Source organism: Homo sapiens, chromosome 12, assembly GCF_000001405.40.
Source record: "Homo sapiens chromosome 12, GRCh38.p14 Primary Assembly".
NCBI classification, from domain to species: Eukaryota; Metazoa; Chordata; class Mammalia; order Primates; family Hominidae; genus Homo; species Homo sapiens.
In genome coordinates this window covers 88,225,996-88,245,729 of record NC_000012.12, presented here as the reverse complement: position 1 = coordinate 88,245,729, position 19,734 = coordinate 88,225,996, and the positions used below count along the sequence as shown (strand labels likewise).

Sequence of the window (19,734 nt, the reverse complement as noted above, 5' to 3'; positions counted from 1 at the left end):
TGAACTTGGCTATAAATGACTAGCCAAGGGGATGGAATATATTTATTTCTATCACCATGGATTATATGTTTCTATCAATAGAGCATCCCTGAATCAATCCACAATGGCAGTACTGGAATTAGGGTGAATTGATGTTGAACAATACACAAACAACCAAAGAAATGTCCAATCATTTGGCTACTTCATCTTCCCATTCATAAACCCTCAAAAATATCTGTCTACATAATAAACTTATGTCACATCCCACAGAAAACACATCCTCCTTCGCTTTCCCAAAGAAATAATGAGAAATAAAAATCTCATTCATTGACCACACAGAGTTCTGGGTTCAAAAGGGCTATTCGAGGTACAGTCCTCTCAGTCAGATCCATCTCTAACTCCTCTTCACCTAGAGAACTAATGCTATATACTGTGTTTAATAAATCCCAAAACATTCAATACACACTTTTAAGCTGCTGTTTTGGGAAGGTAAACAACATTAAAGTGGTTGCTGATACATAATTCATATAATGTCTTGCATGACAGGGAAAGAAAGGGCTCCTTGACCTAGGAGTGAAATATAGTTCTGCTCTCTAAGGACTTCTATTGTTGAGAAGGAAATGGTTAATGGCAGTTTAGTGGACCACTTCTTCCCTAGTGGAGATAACAGGGGAAAAGAATGACTTCCACCAGATCTCCTTGTACACAGGGATTTCCTATCTACAAAGTAGGATATTTCTGGTCTATTTTTCTTATTGTAGGCAAATCTGAAATCTATGGACTTTGCTTATACCTGCTGTTTGTGAGTAGCCTTTAAATAATTAATAAAATTTGATACCAGGTAAGATCTATAATTTATGTGCACCTGCTTTGACAATTCAATCTGTTGAGTTTACACAATTCTTGTCTATGACCATATCCGAAGGGCATCCCGTAATTATTTATCAGTGTACTTCATTTAACCTCAGGTTCTAGAGCCTGAGGATTATTTTAAAGCTTGAGAAAATTTAGCCTCTTTTTTGTAAGGCTTGAGATTTGTCTAACAGTAAAACTTACTTGAACTCTTGGTATATTTTTAACCTATTTGCATTTTCTCTATTCATGGGGTAGTAAACAAAGGGAACTATCATGAAGAATCAGAGTATTTAAATCTGGACAACATGGCTGGATTTTCTGTCTTCAAGAAATTGGCCATGGCTACTATAGTACTTTTAGTCGTGGCCCCCTAAAAGACAGATTGAAATCCTAACTCTCAGTACCTCAAGAATGTGGCCTAATTTGCAAATAGGGTAGTTGCAAATGATTAGTTAAGGTGATATCACATGGGAATAGTGTGAGCTCTTAATCTAATATGACTGTGTCTTTATAACAGGAGCAGAAACAGACACACAGAGGGAGACAGCCATGTGAATGATTAAAGTGATGTGTCTACATGTCAAGTAACTCAAAGGATTGCCGACAACTTCCAGAAGCAAGGAGAGAGGCATGGAACAGATTCTTTCTCGGGTGCTTCCAGAGGAAGAAAGTCTGCTGGCATGTTATTTCAGACTTCTAGATTCCAGAACTGTGAGATGATAAATGTATGTTTTTCAAAGCCATCCAAATTTGTGGTACTTGGTTGCAGCAGTCCTGGGAAACTAGTACATCGACACTGCACTGCCAATTTCTTTAGCCCCGAGCTGAATTTCCTTCTTCTTTGTATCTATGCCTCTGGAGTGTATTTTCTCAATGGGAGTAATTCATCCCATTGTCAGGCAATGACTACTTAATTGGAAGAATATGGGAGGGGCTTGAGAAGCTAGGATATGATTTTTCTAACTACCAGTCATATCTCTTGCTAAGTTTCCCACTTCTAATATTGCTTGAATCAAATACTAGCTTAGGGCAGAGAATTTTTGGCTTTTCTACCCTGCTACTGTAGTTACAGCTATCTCAGACTTCAAATTACAGGTAGAAATGAGGCTGGTTGCAGTGGCTCACACCTGTAATCCCAGCACTTAGGGAGGCCGAGGTGGGCGGATCACATGAGGTCAGGAGTTACCAGCCTGCCCAAAATGGTGAAACGCCATCTCTACTAAAAATATAAAAATTAGCCAGGCGTGGTAGTGCGTGCCTATAGTCCCAGCTACTGGGGAGGCTGAAGCAGGAGAATCTCTTGAACCTGGGAGGCGGAGGTTGCAGTGAGCAGAGATCACACCACTGCACTCCAGCCTGGGTGACAGAGATTCCATCTCAAAAAAAAAAAAAAAGAAAGAAAGAAAAAAAAAAGAAAGAAGGAAAGAAAGAAAGAAAGAAAAGAAAAGAAAGAAAGAAAAGAAAAGAAAGAAAGGGAGAGACAGAGAGAGAGAGGGAAGGAAGGAAGGAAGGCAGGAGAAGAGAGAGGAAGAAAGAGGGAGAAGGAAGGAAGGAAAGAAAGAGAAAGAGAGAAAGAAAGGAAAGGAAGGAGAGAGAAAGAAAGAGAAAGAGAAAGAAAGAAAAGAAAGAAAGAAGGAAGGGAAGGAAAAGAAAGAGAGAAAGGAAGGAAGGGAAAGAAAGAAAGAGAAAGGAAGAGAAAGGAAGGAAAGGAAGGAAGGAGAGAGAGAAAGAAAAGAAAGAGGAAGGAAGGAGATAGAGAAAGAAAGAAAGAGAAAAAGGAAAGAAAGAAAAGAAAAGGAAGGAAATGTAGGAAAGAAGGAAGGAGAAAGAGAAAGAAAGAGAGAGAGAAAGAAAGACAGAAGAAAAGAAAAGAAAAGTAAAGAAAACAAAGTGGAAGCTTACACCAAAACAATATTCTCTAATCTCTTTATTTTTAAATAAAATGGATCTGGTTTAAAACTTTCTCATTGTTTGACCTTATTTGATGTTCTAAATGCTGAATTCAAAACAAAGTTTCACATCTTGTGGTCTTATTCAGTGTGACCACAGGACATGCTGCTTAAACCATTGCTTAAACAGAGAACAGTTTAAGCAGTTGTTTTGCTTACACTTAATAAAATCTGCCAACTTCCAAGACTGGAATTGAGGCCCACATTGCTCTTCATGTGACCTCCTGAGCTTGGCCAGACTAGCTATGAAGTCTAGTCCTTGTTCAAAAGTTGGCCAACCACTCAGTTGTGATTCGAGTTGCTTCTACTTTAACTTATGTTATTGTCTTTTCACATACAGTTTAACCAGGCCCTCAAACAATATCACTGCAACCCAATTTCCTACTTCTATCATATGCCTAATCTGTCCTGGATCTATTCACATATAGAATCTCTCTTTACAGTGGAAAGATGGTTGCCACAATTTTAAACGTATATTTTCTCTCATTTTGAGTCAATGAAGTGTTAGTAAAATCTTGGGTCATTTCACTGACTTTTATTTAGTCAGATTTCCAGTTGTTAAGTGAATCACAGTGAATGGAGCAGTGCCATGTGCAGAATGACTTAGATCTGAGTCATATGCTCTGGTCCCCACACCTCCAGAAACACATGAGCTAATCATGAGAAAGAACTAACCCACCAAATGGCTCTTTGTAGAAGTAAATTGAAGCTAGCCAGTCAGAAAATGTAAACTAAAATAACAACAGAATTATTAGGTTGGTGCAAAAGTAGTTGCAGTTTTTACCATCACTTTCAATGGCAAAAACCGCAATTACTTTTGCATCAACATAATGGAAGGGTGGAGTAAAACAGCAGAGTAAGAATTTCCATGAAAGGCTAAGAATTTTGTCAAAGACCTTTTCTGCATCTATTGAGATAATCATGTGTTCTTTGTCTTTGGTTCTGTTTATATGCTGGATTACATTTATTGATTTGCATATGTGGAATCAGCCTTGCATCCCAGGGATGAAGCCCACTTGATCGTGGTGGATAAGCTTTTTGATGTGCTGCTGGATTCGGTTTGCCAGTATTTTATTGAGGATTTTTGCATCGATGTTCATCAGGGATATTGGTATAAATTCTCTTTTTTTATTGTGTCTCTGCCAGGCTTTGGGATCAGGATGATGCTGACCTCATAAAATGAGTTAGGGAGGATTCTCTCTTTTTCTATTGATTGGAATAGTTTCAGAAGGAATGGTACCAGCTCCTCCTTGTACCTCTGGTAGAATTCGGCTGTGAATCCATCTGGTCCTGGACTTTTTTTGGTTGGAAGGCTCTTAATTATTGTCTCAATTTCAAAGCCTGTTGTTGGTCTATTCAGGGATTCAACTTCTTCCTGGTTTAGTCTTGGGAGGGTGTATGTGTCCAGGAATTTATCCCTTTCCTCTAGATTTTCTAGTCTATTTGTGTAGAGGTGTTTATAGTATTCTCTGATAGTAGTTTGTATTTCTGTGGGATCAGTGGTGACAAAATTCAACAGCCCTTCATGCTAAAAACTCTCAATAATTTAGGTACTGATGGGATGTCTCTCAAAATAATAAGAGCTATTTATGACAAATCCACAGCCAATATCATACTGAATGGGCAAAAACTGGAAGCATTCCCTTTGAAAACTGGCACAAGACAGGGATGCCCTCTCACCACTCCTATTCAACATAGTGTTGGAAGTTCTGGCCAGGGCAATCAGGCAGGAGAAAGAAATAAAGGGTATTCAATTAGGAAAAGACAAAGCCAAATTGTCCCTGTTTGCAGATGACGTGATTGTATATTTAGAAAACCTCATCGTCTCAGCCCAAAATCTCCTTAAGCTGATAAGCAACTTCAGCAAAGTCTCAGGATACAAAATCAATGTGCAAAAATCATAAGCATTCTTATACACCAATAACAGACAAACAGAGAGCCAAATCATGAGTGAACTCCCATTCACAATTGCTTCAAAGAGAATAAAATACCTAGGAATCCAACTTACAAGGGATGTGAAAGACCTCTTCGAGGAGAACTACAAACCACTGCTCAACGAAATAAAAGAGGACACAAACAAATGGAAGAACATTCCATGCTCATGGGTAGGAAGAATCAATATTGTGAAAATGGCCATACTTCACAAGGTAATTTGTAGATTCAATGCCAGCCCCTTCAAGCTACGAATGACTTTCTTCACAGAATTGGAAAAAACTATTTGAAAGTTCATATGGAACCAAAAAGGAGCCCACATTGCCAAGACAATCCTAAGCCAAAAGAACAAAGCTGGAGGCATCACGCTACTTGACTTCCAACTATACTACTAGGCTACAGTAACCAAAACAGCATGGTACTGGTACCAAAACAGAGATATAGACCAATGGAACAGAACAGAGCCCTCAGAAATAATACCACACATCTACAACCAACTGATCTTTGACAAACCTGACAAAAACAAGCAATAGGGAAAGGATTCCCTATTTAATAAATGGTGCTGGGAAAACTGGCTAGCCATATGTAGAAAGCTGAAACTGGATCCCTTCTTTACACCTTATACAAAAATTAATTCAAGATGGATTAAAGACTTAAACGTTAGACCTAAAACCATAAAAGCCCTAGAAGAAAACCTAGGCAATACCATTCAGGACATAGGCATGGGCAAGGACTTCATGTCTAAAACACCAAAAGCAATGGCAACAAAAGCCAAAATTGACCAATGGGATCTAATTAAACTAAAGAGCTTCTGCACAGCAAAAGAAACTAACATTGGAGTGAACAGGCAACCTACAGAATGCGGCAAAATTTTTGAAATCTACTCATCTGACCAAGGGCTAATATCCAGAATCTACAAAGAACTCAAACAAACTTACAAGAAAAAAACAAACAACATCACCAACGAGTGGGCAAAGGATATGAACAGACACTTATCCAAAGAAGACATTTATGCAGCCAAAAGGCACATGAAAAAATGCTCATCATCACTAGCCATCAGAAAAATGCAAATCAAAACCGCAATGAGATACCATTTCACACCAGTTAGAATAGCAATAATTAAAAAGTCAGGAAACAACAGGTGCTGGAGAGGATGTGGAGAAATAGGAACATTTTTACACTGTTGGTGGGACTGTAAACTAGTTCAACCATTATGGAAGACAGTGTGGCAATTCCTCAAGGATCCAGAACTAGAAATACCATTTGACCCAGCCATCCCATTACTGGGTATATACCCAAAGGATTATAAGTCATGCTGCTATAAAGACATATGCACACAGATGTTTATTGCAGCACTATTCACAATAGCAAAGACTTCAAACCAACCCAAATGTCCATCAATGATAGACTGGATTAAGAAAATATGGTACATATACTCCATGGAATACTATGCAGCCATAAAAAAGGATGAATTCATGTCCTTTGTAGGGACATGGATGAAGCTGGAAACCATCATTCTCAGCAAACTATCACAAGGACAAAAAACCAAACACCGCATGTTCTTACTCATAGGTGGGAATTGAACAATGAGAACACTTGGACACAGGAAGGGGAAGATCACACACCGGGACCTGTCGTGGGGTGGGGGGAGGGAGGAGGGATAGCATTAGGAGATATACCTAATGTAAATGACGAGTTAATGGGTGCAGCACACCAACATGGCACATGTATACATATGTAACAAACCTGCACGTTGTGCGCATGTACCCTAGAACTTTAAATATAGTTTTAAAAAAAGGAATTTCCAGTGACTGTACCACCACAGAAACATCAACATCTATTGAACAAATAATAAATATCCATGCATGAAAATGATTTCCCTCGAGATAAGGAAGCCAAATGAGAGACTATAGTACCTGATTGTGTCACTATAATAAGAAAAGACCCCTTTAAAAGGGTAGGAAAGCCAGTTATACATTATCCTCATAGCCCCTTCCCCAAGCCCAGGCAACACAGTGCAAAGAGAGATACCATCTGTCTGGGAGAAAGAGAGGAAAGTGAGCACAGGACTTTGCCTTAGACTCCAACACTGGGTTAACCATAGTAAAATCCAGCACTAGACAGACCCCCATAGATCCATATTCCAAGCCAGTATCCATAGACTGAGCCTCTACTGACCCAACCTGGTGTCAGGCAGAACTACAAATCTCCAGGATTCAGGATTGAGTGGAAGAGTCGATCTTCAGCCCACTTCCCACCAGGTCACCTTCAGGCAGGTCTCAATGGCAGGCATCCCCCAGAGGCTCCAGGCTTCTGGTATGCCCCAGTGCCACACAGGCTGCACCTGCCCTGAACTTCTTGCATTCTCCAGCACCATGCCTGCAATAGCAAGCCCCAGGTTTCTAATAGCAGTACACTAGCTGCAAATGCCCTGGCCTCTGGCCTACCTATCCCAATACTGTGCCTGCTGAAGGGCTTTCCCAGACAAAGTCAGTCTGTGAAGACTAGAATAACTACTTACTTCTTTGAAAGCACAGACATCTATATACAAGGATCAAGAACAATCAGGGACACATAACATTGCCAGACAGATTAAGTTGCCAGTGATTGACCCTAAAGAAATGAAGATATATGAAATGGCTGACAAGCAATTCAAAATAGCTATCTTAAAGAAGCTCAATACTTTGGGAGGCTGAAGTGAGCAGATTGCTTAAGCCCAAAAGTTTGAGACCAGCTTGGACACCATAGCTAAATCTTGTCTCTACAATAAATACAAAAATTAGCTGGACATGGTGGTGTGAAACTGTAGTCCCAGCTACTCAGCAAGCAGAGGCAGGAAGACTGCTTGAGCACAGGAGTTTGAGGTTGCAATGAGTCATAATCACATCACTACACTTTAGCCTGGGTGACAGAGTGAGATCCTGTCTCAAAAAGAAAAAGAAGAGGAAGGAGAAGAAGAAGAGGAAGAGGAAGAAGAAGAAGAAGGAGAAGAACAAGGAGAAAAAGCAGCAGCAACAGCAGCAGCAGCAGCAGCTCAGTAAATGTCAGGAAAACACAGAAAAACAATATAATAAAACTAGAAAAATAATATGTGACCAGAATAAGAAATTTAATAGAGAGATTAAAATAATAATTTAGAAAACAAGCAGGAATCCTGGAGATAAAAAAATACAATGAACAAAATTAAAAAGGCAAAAAATAGCATCAATGGCAAAATTAATCAAGGAGAAGAAAGAATCAGTGAACTTGGAGATAGATTATTTGAAAATAGACAGCCAGAAGAAAAAAAAGCATAAAAAGAAATAAAGATTATAGGATTTTTGAGACAACATCAAAAGAGCAAGTTTTTGAATCACAGGAGTTCAATAAGGAGAAGGGAAAGATAAAGGGGTAGAAAACTTATTTTTAAAAACAGGAGCTCAAAACCTAAAGAAAGATGTAATTATTTAGGTACAGGAAGGTCAAAGGTCTCCAACCAGATTTAATTCAGATAAGACTACCCCAAGGCATATTATAACCAAACTGTTAGAAATGAAGCACAAAGAGAGGATTCTGGGAGCAGCAAGAGCTAAGAAATGAATAACGTAAAAGAAAGTTTCAATATATCTAGCAGCAGACTTTTCAGCAAAAATCTTACAGGCCAGTAGAGAGGGAGATGATATATTCAAAGTGCTAAAGGAAAAAACCAGCCAACCAACCCTAACATATTAAGGAAAGCTGTCCTCAAGAAATGAAAGAGAGATAAAAATTTCCCCAAACGGAAACTAAGAAAGTTCATCACCACAAGACATGTCTTACAAAAAAAGCTAATGAGAATTCTTGAAGCAGAAAGAAAAGAATTCTAATGAGTACGATAAAAATATCTGAAAGTTTAAAAATCATTGATAAAAGTAAGTATACAGTCAAATTCAGAATATTAAAATATTTTAACTATGGTGTATAAATCATTGAAATTTTTAGCATGAAAATCAATAATGTAAGCTATTAATAATTTTATAATAGCTATAATAATTTGTTAAGTGATAAGCAGTATAAAAAGATCTAAATTATACCATCAAAACTCAAAATATTGGGGAGAAAATACAGTAAAATTGAAGTGGGCTTTTTTTGCAATAAAGTTAAGTTGTTATCAGCTTAAAATAATCTATTATAGCTATGAGATTTTTCTTTATGCCATAAGGTAAGCACAAAGTAGAAGACCTATAGAGGATACTTACCCCAGAAAAGTAATAAATCAAAATATACTACCAGAAAAATTACTTAAAACACAAAGGAAGAGAGCAACAGAGAAAGGAAGGAACAAAGGATCTATAAAACAATTAAAAGATAACAAAATGGCAGTAGTAAGTTCTTACCTATCAATAATTACCTTGAATGTAAGTGGATTAAATTCTAGCATCAAAAGACACAAAATGGCTGAATAGATTAGAGATAAAAACAAGACCCAACTATATACCGCCTATAAGAGACTCACTTCATCTGTAAAGACAAACATAGACTTAAAGTGAAGGGATGAAAAAGATATTCCATGAAAATAGAAACCAAAAAAGAGAAGGAGTAATAATACTTTTATCCAATAAAATAGACTTTAAGTCAAAAAATTTTTTAAAAGACAGAAAAGGTTATTGTATAATGATAAAGAAGTCCATTCAGTAGAAGGATATAGCAATTACGAATATACATGCACTCAATATTGGGACACATAAATATGTAAAGCATTATTAATAGATCTGAGGGGAGACATTGACTGCAATGCCTAATAGTATGGGATGTCAACACCACACTTTCATCAATAGACAGATCACTCAGACAAAAATCAATAAGGTAAACTGAATTGAAACTACACTCTAAATCAAATGGATCTAACAGACACACATAAAGAACACTCCATTTAACAGCTACAGAATACACACTCTTCTCAACAGTACATGAAACATTCTCCAAGATAGGTCATGTGATATAACACAGAACAAATTTAAACAAATTTAAGAAGACTGATATTAAGTAAGTTTTCTGGTTGCAATGGTATTAAAACTAAAAATAAATACAGAGAAAACTTCAGAAAATTCACAAGAACATGGAAATTAAACAACATACTCCTGACCAAACAATGGGTCTGATATCATTTGGCTCCGTGTCTCAACCCAAATCTCACCTTGAATTGTAATAATCTCCACATGTCAAGGGTGAGACCAGGTGGAGATAATTGAATCATGGGAACAGTTTCCCCCATGCAGTTCTCATAATAGTGAGTGAGTTCTCACAAGAGCTGATGGTTTAATAAGGGGCTTCCCCCTTTGCTTGGCATTCATTCACTCCTGCTGCCTTGTGTAAAAGTGCCTTCCACTATGACTGTAAGTTTCCTGAGGCATCTCCAGCCATGCAAAACTGTGAGTCAATTAAACCTCTTTTCTGAAAGGCTCTTTTAGTGGTTCAAACCCTGAGAACGTGCCAACAAACAACACAAGGTGGTGTGGAGAAACACGCTGTTTTAGTGAGCACCTGGGTGCAGATGGGCTGAGGCCTAAAATGGTGTCAGCCCCAGGTGAGGGCAGGCAGGGGTTTTATAGTCTCCAGTAAACAAGAAGTGTCCCAGTCTGACCTAACTGCTACGTGGTACCCTGATGGCTCCCTCTCTCGATCTCCAGTGGGTACATGTCTTCCAGCCAGCTCTCTTCCTGCTTCTTCTATCTTGCTGATGCACGCTGCTGACGCAAGTGGCTTTGTGCCTTGGGACTGGGCCTGAGGAGGGAGGAGTTATTCATCCCCCCAAACTTTCAGGCCCTGGGGAGAATCTTTAATTCCTGTCTATTCGGTTATAGAAAAGGGAAAAGGGACAACTTTCTCAATAACTACTTCAGGTATGACATAGGGGGTGCCATGGGCACCTCGGAATAAAGAAAAACTTAATTTTTGGGGTATTCTTGAGAGACGGGTTGGTATCCATTGTGTCATTGTAGCAGGAGCATCGTCTGGATTGTCTGGCAGTTAACTGTAGTTTCAACAAGTTTTAGTGGCTTTCATTATCAGTGGGATAGGGGAGAAACAGGAGGAACCCAATGATGAAGATTACTGTCTCTACCAGCGTTTTAAATCCTCCTAAATTAGAGAGCCACCCTCCTAGAAGGTTTATCGGGTCCCATCCCTTCCAGGTTTGGACTGGTACATGGGCTACTTTTCTGATGTTTGAGGCAATCTCTAGAACCACTTTTCCATTATATTCTATGTTAAGACAACAATTGGAGATATTAAACTTATCATAGACCCCACCCTCTTCTGCTAATAAGTAGTCTAGTGTCAGTCTGTTTTGATAAGTTGTCGTGTGCATTTGGTTTTGTTGTTGTGCAAGCATTTCCAGGGCTGAGGCAGTTTGGTTAGTGATTATCTTTAGAATAGCCTGTAGTATAATTATTCTATTTAGCCTATATATGGGAGTGTGATAACCCCATGAACCATCCTCAGCCCAAGTGGCAGGGCCATAATATTCAATGATCCATTGCAGAGGCCACTTGTCCTCTCGCCATCTTTGGCTTCCTCCTACCTTTAAGGATTGTTTTTCTCTGTTTAGGTTATCACATACAGGGACTCCAAGGGTGTTGCCCACCTGCTTTGGAAGTAAAAAGAATCCAGGTTTAACTATGCCTAGGAAGCAAGTACCTTGCCAGTGATAAGGTAGCCATGAGTAAGCCTGGGTTCCACATATCCAAAAGAATCCTTCAGGGGCAATCCATTGTAGGCTGGTGTTCATAGGATTGTCCCATAGTGCACTTAGGCAGGGGTATGCAGCTTAAGGGTTAGTGGTGTTTGTATAGTACCAGGCCTTTTTTTACAAGACACAATTGAGGTAGCTTAAGTTAGAAGGAGACCAGGCTCCTTGGGGTAACCTTGGCCACCACTCTGCTGTGGAGGCATTGACTGTTAGGGTTTGGTGACAGGGGCTTTCACCTACAGTGTGATGGGTTTCATCAGTCCACTTGTGGAATATGCACACCACCCCTCTTACTGGGTTCGTAAGTGTCTAGGACTGTGGGTGTTCCTGAGGACTGAAAATGAGGCTGGGGTTTTGGGATGCTAGTAACTAAGGGGGAATGTCTATCCCATACCACAGCCACTGTTCACTTCACTCATACGAGCTCCCTTGCATACCCAGCAATTGGACACATTCATGGTAAGTGTGATGCTTTCTCCTAGATCTACAAACAGCTTTTTCCTGACTTGGGAAGGGATACATCTGCTTGTAGTTTTGTATAAAAGCATGAAAATACCATGGGTGATTTTGGGTGGGTGGTGGGGGGAGTTGTTTATTTTGGCTTTTGCTTTGGCTATAATCTGTTCTCTCTTTATGTCCTCTAGCACTTGAGTATTTACTCCCCATTGTCCAATTTTGGTGAAGCAAAGCCACTGCTTACCTTTTGGACATATAGTCCCATTACAACTGCCAGATACTCCTGGATTTTTTACTTTACAATAACCTTTCCCTGATTCAACACATTCCTCAATTAAGTTTCCATAACAGGATTTTTCTATACGAGTATGTTAAGTAAAGGATTGTTGCATTTTTCCTCCACAGTGGAAAGACTGATAACACTCATGGCAGCTCGGAGGGGCTGCTGTGGACAGCAGGGCAGCTACTGACAATATTAGGATTGTGATGAGAGATATTCCTGTATTAAGACTTTTGGTTGGAAGTGAGGTACAGCAGGCAGTTGGGTAGATATAGGCCATTTCTAAAGCAAGTGATTAGTCTTCCTCATCTTTTGGCTCTAAGAAAAAAAAATTGGGTTAATTTAAGCTTGGTAGGAGAAATTGGCCAGGATGACCACTTTCCTGTTAATGTTTTGGAGGAAGAAGTAGCCTTGGGGGTGAGCTTGACCCTGGTGTGATGGATCCAGCGAGGGAGTTCTTGGATTCTCACTGCAGTTGGCATGCTGAGTATCATAGTGTAGGGGCCTGTCCACTTCAGTTGTAGCTTTTTGTGAGGGTCAGGTTGGCAAATAAATACTTCTGTGCCTGCAAGACAGTTATGTTGAGAGGACAAGGAGGTGTCAACAGGGAGAGGCATGACCTCATTTGCAGCTTCACGAATGAAAGATCATGTCTGGATTAAGGAGGGGAGGATTACCCGGGCAAGATTTGCAAGTAGATTTCACTCACATGCTGCCCTATAAATGGCTCTGCTATCTTCTAGTCTTTGTTTGTACTTTCTCCTGGTGGGTAGAAGCATTCCCAACAACTTCAGAAGGTGCAAATGTCATAACAGAAACTCTCATCATACATATAGTTACCCACCAGGCCCTGGGCTTGGTGGATATGAAAAGGCGGCAGCCAGAGGGAATCCTGGGGTGACACTGAGTGGCAGATAGAGCAGGACTGAGTAATTTCTCAAACACGGCTGGAAAGGAGAGGACAAGTGAGAATAGGGTGGAGAAGTTGCAAGAGAGGTTTGTAACCAACATGGAAAGAGTTGTGGAGGGTTTGGAGGATAGGGATTATCTGAGAGTGAGGAAGAATGAAACACCCTTCCTTGACATACCGTGGTCCTTGCTTTTGAAGGTTTTGGGCTTGGAAGTCCTCCTTTTCTTCTGAGGAGTAAAGAGGAGAGAACAAGGACAGGGACAGAAACTGGCCTTACACAGGTTGTAGGGCTACTTGTTTGGCTAAATTATCTGCTAGAGCATTTCTAGCCAATATAGGATTGTCTGGGGTTTGGTGGCCCCTGCAATGAATGATGGCAACTTTCTGCAGGAGTCTGGCAGCTTGAAGGAGTTTGCTGATGAGCCATTTATGACAGGAGTGTTTTTTGCAGTTAGGAAACCCCATTCTTTCCAGATGGACAAGTGTGAGTGCACTATGTGGAACATATAATGAGAATCTGAATATATGTTAATTTGTTGTCCGCCTGCTAGCATGAGTGCTTGAGTGAGGGTGATGAGTTCAGTTTTTTGGGAGGTGGTTCCTAGGGGGAGCAGACTGGCTTCAATACTGTGTGGGGCGTAGCACTATAGCATAGCCAGCATGTTGGCATCCTTGATATAGGAAGGAGCTGCCATCTACGAACCAAATAAAGGAGGCATCTGGAAGGTGTTGGCCTGTTAGGTTTGGAAAAGGTATAAGAAAGGTTTGAACAGTGTCTACACAGAAGTGTGCAGGGTCTTGGGAGGCAGTAGCTGCAGGTAAGAGCATGGCCAGTTTAAACAGGAGCTGGTTAGCACAGTGATTTGGGGAGTTTCTATGAATAAAGCATACAGTTGGAGGAGCCATGGGGCAGAGATGAGACTTAGTACACTGCGGTGAGCTAGCATGTCTTTGATGTTATGGGTTGAATAAACTGTTAGGTTGGCATGAAGAGATAGTTTTAGGCTTTCAAGGGTGAGGACAGCATTTGCCACCAGTGTTTGGAGGCAAGCAGGCCATCTGAGAACTGTGGTTTTAAGCTGTCTGGAGAGGTAAGTGATAACCTGGAGGGTAGGTCCCTTAGACTGGGTTACAACACCTAGTGCAGCTCCACGTCGTTCATCGGTATAGAAGGAGAAAGGTTTGGTGAGGTCTGGGGGAGTAGGTGATAACCCGGAGGGCAGGTCCCTTATACTGGATTAGAACACCTAGTGCCACTCCACATCATTTGTCAGTATAGAAGGAGAAAGGTTTGGTGAGGTCTGGGGGAGTGAGGATGGGGGTTGAGATGAGAGGCTTTTGGAGTAGACAGAAAGGTTGGATAATAGGCTGTGCAGGGTTTAAAGGTTCATGGAGACGGCCTTTAGCAGCTTGGTATAACGGTTTGGCAAGTAGAGCGAAGGAGGGAACCCAAAGCCTAAAATATCCCACTAATCCTTGAAAAGAGAATTTCTTCCTTAGTTTGCAGAGGTGGGAGGGACTGGAGGAGGGATATTCAGTCAGTTTTGAGCCCTTGGGTTTGCAGGGTAAAGGCTAGGCCTAGGTAGGTGACTGAGGGAGTGCATATTTGTGCTTTTTCAGGGGAGACCCGATACGCCTGCTCTGCCAGGAAGTTTAAAAAAGAGATAAAATGGGTATTGCAATCTTTGAGAGAGGCTACACAGGAGCAGATCATCAACATATTGAAGGAAAGTGGACAGTTTTAGGGATAAGGTACAGAGGTCGTGGGCAAGGTCCTGTCCAAAAAGGTGGGGGCTGTCTCTAAAACCTTGAGGTAGTATGCACCAGGTGAGCTGATGTCAAAGGTGGGTGTAGGGGTCTTCCCACGTAAAGGCAAAGAAGTCTTGAGAATTGGGGTGCAAAGGAATTGTAAAAAAAAGTATCCTTTAGGTCTAGGATGGAAAAATGGGTGGTACTGGAGGGAACTGTGGAAAGTAAAATGTATGGGTTAGGAACTACTGGACATACTGGGAGCACAGCTTGGTTAATGAGCCTGAGGTCCCAGACTAAGTGATAAGTTCCATCTGGTTTTTTAACATGTAGAATTGGTGTGTTAAAAGGGAAGTTTGTTGGGCAGAATAGGTGACTGGAAGGAGATGAAAATGATAGGCTTTAGGCCTGCAAGAGCTGCTTGGGTAATTGGATACTGCTTCTGTGAAAGGAACTGGGTGGGGTTTTTAAGGGTAATGCGGATGGGGGTGTGGTGTTTTGCAACTGAGGGTGTGGAAGTATCCCAAACAGCAGGGTTAACTACGGATGGGGGATAAGCAAAGGTTGCATATTTTAGGGTGGGAGGTTGGAGGAGTAGAAGAAAGCTAGAAGCACCAGAGGGGTCTTGGTGGATGTGTTGGTTACCATGGGGAATGTGGAAGTGGAGAGTAGTGTGGAGTTTTGAAAGGATGTCTCTGCCTAGGAGTGGAGTTGGGCATGAGGGCAGGATTAAGAAAGAGTGAGTGAGGGAAAAGATGTGAAGGGAGCAGAAGAGTGGAGGGGTGACTCAGGGTTTGGAGACTTGTCCATCAATACCCACAACAGAGACTTTGGAGGACTGGGTGGGTCCTGAAAAATTAGGTAAAGCAGAGTAGGTTGCCCTGGTATCAATTAAAAGATATACTGGCCTACCTGCCACCATCAGGGTTACCCTTGGCTTGGATGAAGAGATGGTAGTTGCCAGGGCATCCATTCCAGGGCAACATCAGTCTTCAGTGGCAAGCCAATGAGATCCAAGTAGGAGGTTTTGGCCAGCTCAGGAAGAGATGGGGGTGGTCCTTGCAGAAGCCACTCACAGTACGACTTCCAGTGGGCCCTCCGCAGATGGGGCATGGCCTGATGGGCTTACCTGGGTTAGGGCATTTTCTAGACCATTGGCCTTCATTGCTGCACTTGAAACAGGTGCCAGGTGGAGGTGGATTACTAGGAGGCTTCCGTGTGGAGCTGTGGCCCCGTGGGCCTGCAGGGCCCCTGATGGCAGAGGCAAGCATTTGAAATTCTGCCTGTTTTTGCCTTTTATCTTCCTCATCATGATTGTTAAAGACTTTGAATGCTAAATTAAGAAGGTCTCATTGTGTGGTTTGAGGGCCGTCATCAAGCTTCTGAAGCTTGCACCGGATATCAAGGGTGGATTGGGAGATGAATCAAACATTTAAGATAGTGGTTCCTTCTAGGCTGGCTGGGTCTAGGTTGGTATATTTTCTCATAGCTTCAGTTAAATGAGAGAGAAAAAGGGCTGGGTTTTCATCAGGACCTTGGGTGATTTCTGAAAGTTTTCATAGTTTACCGCTGTATGGGCACCCTTTTTGAGTCCTGCAAGGAGACACACAATCATGTGGTCTCGATAGCAGTGTCCAGGGGCCCCATCTTGATAACCCCAGTGGAGGTCCTGACTGGGGACTGCTTCTGTGCCAGTAGGCTGGGTAGGAGCCTGGTGAGGAATTGTATCAGCATGTGCCTGAGCTAAGGTCCAGATACAGTCCCAGTCTTCTGGGGTGAGGGTGGAAGAGAGGATAATGTAGAGGTCATGCCAAGTTAGTTCATAAGACTGGGTGAAGTACTGAAACTCCCTAATATAAGATGTAGGATCTTCTGGATATGAACCGAGTCTTTTGTTAATTTGAGAGAGATCAGTGAGGGAGACGGGAACACGAACTCTAACAATACCTTCAGTTTCTGCTACTTCCCAAAGGGGGCACTCTAGCACAGGTGCTGAAGTAAGGGTGGGGCATGGGTCAAAGATGGCACCTGAGTGAGTATGGACGGGAGAGAAGGAAGAACCTGGAAATGGTTCCTGTTGAGGGTTTGAAGGGGAAAGGGGGTTGAGTTAATAAGCAGTGGAGAATAGATAGGGGTTTAAGGTGGTGGGATGGGTTTATGGGCCTCAGGAGAGGGCAATGAGGGAGAAGAATGGGTACAGGCAGTGCTAGAATTGTCCTGAGGAGAGGACAGTGTAGGAAAAGAAGTGGATACTCTTGGAGGTGGTGCTGGATGGGAAGATGGCAGCTGGGAAGGTGGTGGCTGAGAAGATGACTGCTGGGAAGATGGCAGCTGAGAAGAAAAAGAGAAGGCTTGGGGGATTAAAGAAGATGGTTGAGAGGGAGAGGTAGGGGCTGGGAAGGGTGGACAGCAGTCTGCTGGATCAAACCAGGAAAAAGAGGTAGGGTCGGGAGGAGAAAGGCGTTCAGGGTGGCTATGATGGAGAAGGAGGATTTGAATAGGTGAGCAAGAATTGCAGAGGTCAGGTTGTAATTTGAGTGTGAAAAAGGCCTGGACATAAGGAATTTCTCCCCGTTTTTCCAGTCGTCAGCAATAGTTGCTTAAGTCAATTAAAATTGTAAAGTTGAATGTTCCATTTGGGGGCCATTTGGACCCATTATCCGATTCGTACTGTGGCCAAACTGAATTGCAATATAAAAGACAGGTCACTTAGGGTGGATATCTTACCCGAGGCCTAAGGTTTGCAGGTTTTTTATGAGGCAGCCTAGAGGGCTGTCCTTTGGAGTGGAAGACAGGGAATTTCCCATAACAAAGGGTACACTCGGGAGAACAAGGAAAAGGAGACCTTCCTGGATGGCCGCAGGGAGATGATAAAAGAGCAATCCTCACTGCTGCCTTTTTCGTTCCTAGAACGGGATCAAATGGCTTAGAGGCATCCCCCTAAGACCAGATGATCAGCGAGTGCTTCACACATGCCGGCGGAGCCTTCTTGGACCAACGTTGGATTTCTGGACCAGAGAAACCAAGAGAGGCCGTGTGGATTTATCTCTGTTAACCAGGCTCCCAGGAAACTTACCAGTAGGTGAGATCAGTGACCAATGTGCATGCACAGAGAGGTGACTGGAGGCTGAGGAGCTTCCTTTGTCCAGCTGCTGTGGCCTGCTTTCTGGGGTGGAGGGGTAGGTCCACAGGGCACATGGACCAGAGCCCGTCTCAGGTTTCAGCACCTGATGCAAGGCTCTTGTATTGGTTTGAACCCCGAGAATGCACCAACAAAAAACACAAGGTGGGTGGAACAACACACTGTTTTAATGAGCGCCTGGGTACAGATGGGCTGAGGCCTAAAATCACATCAGCCCCAAGTGAGGACGGGGCATGGGTTTTATAGTCTCTTGTAAACAGGAAGTGTCTCAGTCTGATGTAACTGCTACATGTTACCCAGACGGCCTCTCTCTCTCGATCTCCAGTGGGTAAGTGTCTTCCGGCCAGCTCTCTTCCTGCTTCTGCTATCTTGCTGATGCACACTGCTGGTGCAAGTGGCCTTGCACCTTGGGACTGGGCCTAAGGAGGGAGGAGTTATTCATTCCCCCGAACTTTCAGGCCCTGAGGGAGAATCTTTCATTTTCTTTATAAATTACCAAGCCTCAGGTATTTCTTCATAGCAGCATGAGAATAAACTAATACAGTAAATTGGTACCGGGAGTAGTAGGGTGCTGCTGTAAAGATACTCGAAAATGTGGAAGTGACTTTGGAAGTAGGTAACAGGCAGAGGTTGGAATGGTTTGGAGGGCTCAGAAGAATACAGACAAATGTGGCAGAGTTTGAAACATCCCAGAGACTTAGAGGGCTCAGAAGACAGGAAGATGTGGGACAGTTTGGAAATTCCTGGAGACTTGTTGATTGAATGGCTTTGACCAAAATGCTGATAATGATATGAACAATAAAGTCTAGGGTGAGGTAGTCTCAGATGGAGATGAGAAACTTGTTGGGAACTGGAATAAAAGTGATTCTTACTATGCTTTAAGAAAGAGACTGGCAGCGTATTGCCCCTGCCCTAAAGATCTGTTGAACTTTGAACTTAAGAGAGATGATTTAGGGTATCAGGTGGAAGAAATTTCTAAGTAGCAAAGTGTTCAAGAGGAAGCAGAGCATAAAAATTCAAAAAATTTGCCACCTGATGGTGCACTAGAAAAGAAAGACCCATTTTTTGAGGATAAATACAAACCCACTGCAGAAATTTGCATAAGTAACAAGGAGCAGAATGTTAATCACAAAGACAATGGGGAAAATGTCTCTAGGGCATGTCAGAGAACTTCATGGCATCCTCTCCCATCAAGACTCAGAGGCTTAGGCAGGAAAAATTGAGTGGTGGCACACACCTGTAAAAAAGAGTGGTGGCACACACCTGTATCCCAGCAAGACCCTGTCTCAAAAACAAAAGAAAATGAAAAAAATTGTTAGAACTGGTAAGTGAATTCAGTAGTTTCAAGATAAAAATAATAAGCATACAAAAGCAGTGGAGTTTCTATGCACTAACAGCAAATGATCTGAAAAGGAAATCAAGAATATAGTTTTATTTTAAATAGCTACAAAAAATAATAAATACTTAGGATAAATTTAGCCAAGGAGCTAAAAAATCTTCCCACTGAAACCTATTGAACATAATAAAAGAAATTGAAATAGACACAAACAAAAGGAAAGATAACTCACGTTCATGGATTTGAAAAATTATTTTTATTAAAATGTCCATACTACCCAAAGTGATCTAAAGAGTTGATATGGTCTGGCTGTGTCCCCACCTAAATCTCATCTTGAATTTTAATCCTTACAATCCCAATGTGTCATCACAGGAGGGATCTGTATCATGGAGGCAGTTTTCCCCATGCTGTTTTCATATAGTGAGTGAGGTCTCTTG

General features: G+C 41.8%; 1 pseudogene, besides 2 other annotated features; it reads right to left on the bottom strand.

The window, feature by feature from the left end:
* Positions 1,423-2,001: an enhancer, noted in NCBI's record as "OCT4-NANOG hESC enhancer chr12:88637506-88638084 (GRCh37/hg19 assembly coordinates)". NCBI's record gives its function as "activates a minimal SCP1, AML or CMV promoter by ChIP-STARR-seq in naive H9 embryonic stem cells {active_cell/tissue: H9 hESC(naive)}" and the evidence as "EXISTENCE:reporter gene assay evidence [ECO:0000049][PMID:30033119]".
* Positions 11,836-12,440, bottom strand: LOC101929554 (suppressyn-like; annotated as a pseudogene).
* Positions 17,355-17,901: an enhancer, noted in NCBI's record as "OCT4-NANOG hESC enhancer chr12:88621606-88622152 (GRCh37/hg19 assembly coordinates)". NCBI's record gives its function as "activates a minimal SCP1, AML or CMV promoter by ChIP-STARR-seq in naive and primed H9 embryonic stem cells {active_cell/tissue: H9 hESC(naive and primed)}" and the evidence as "EXISTENCE:reporter gene assay evidence [ECO:0000049][PMID:30033119]".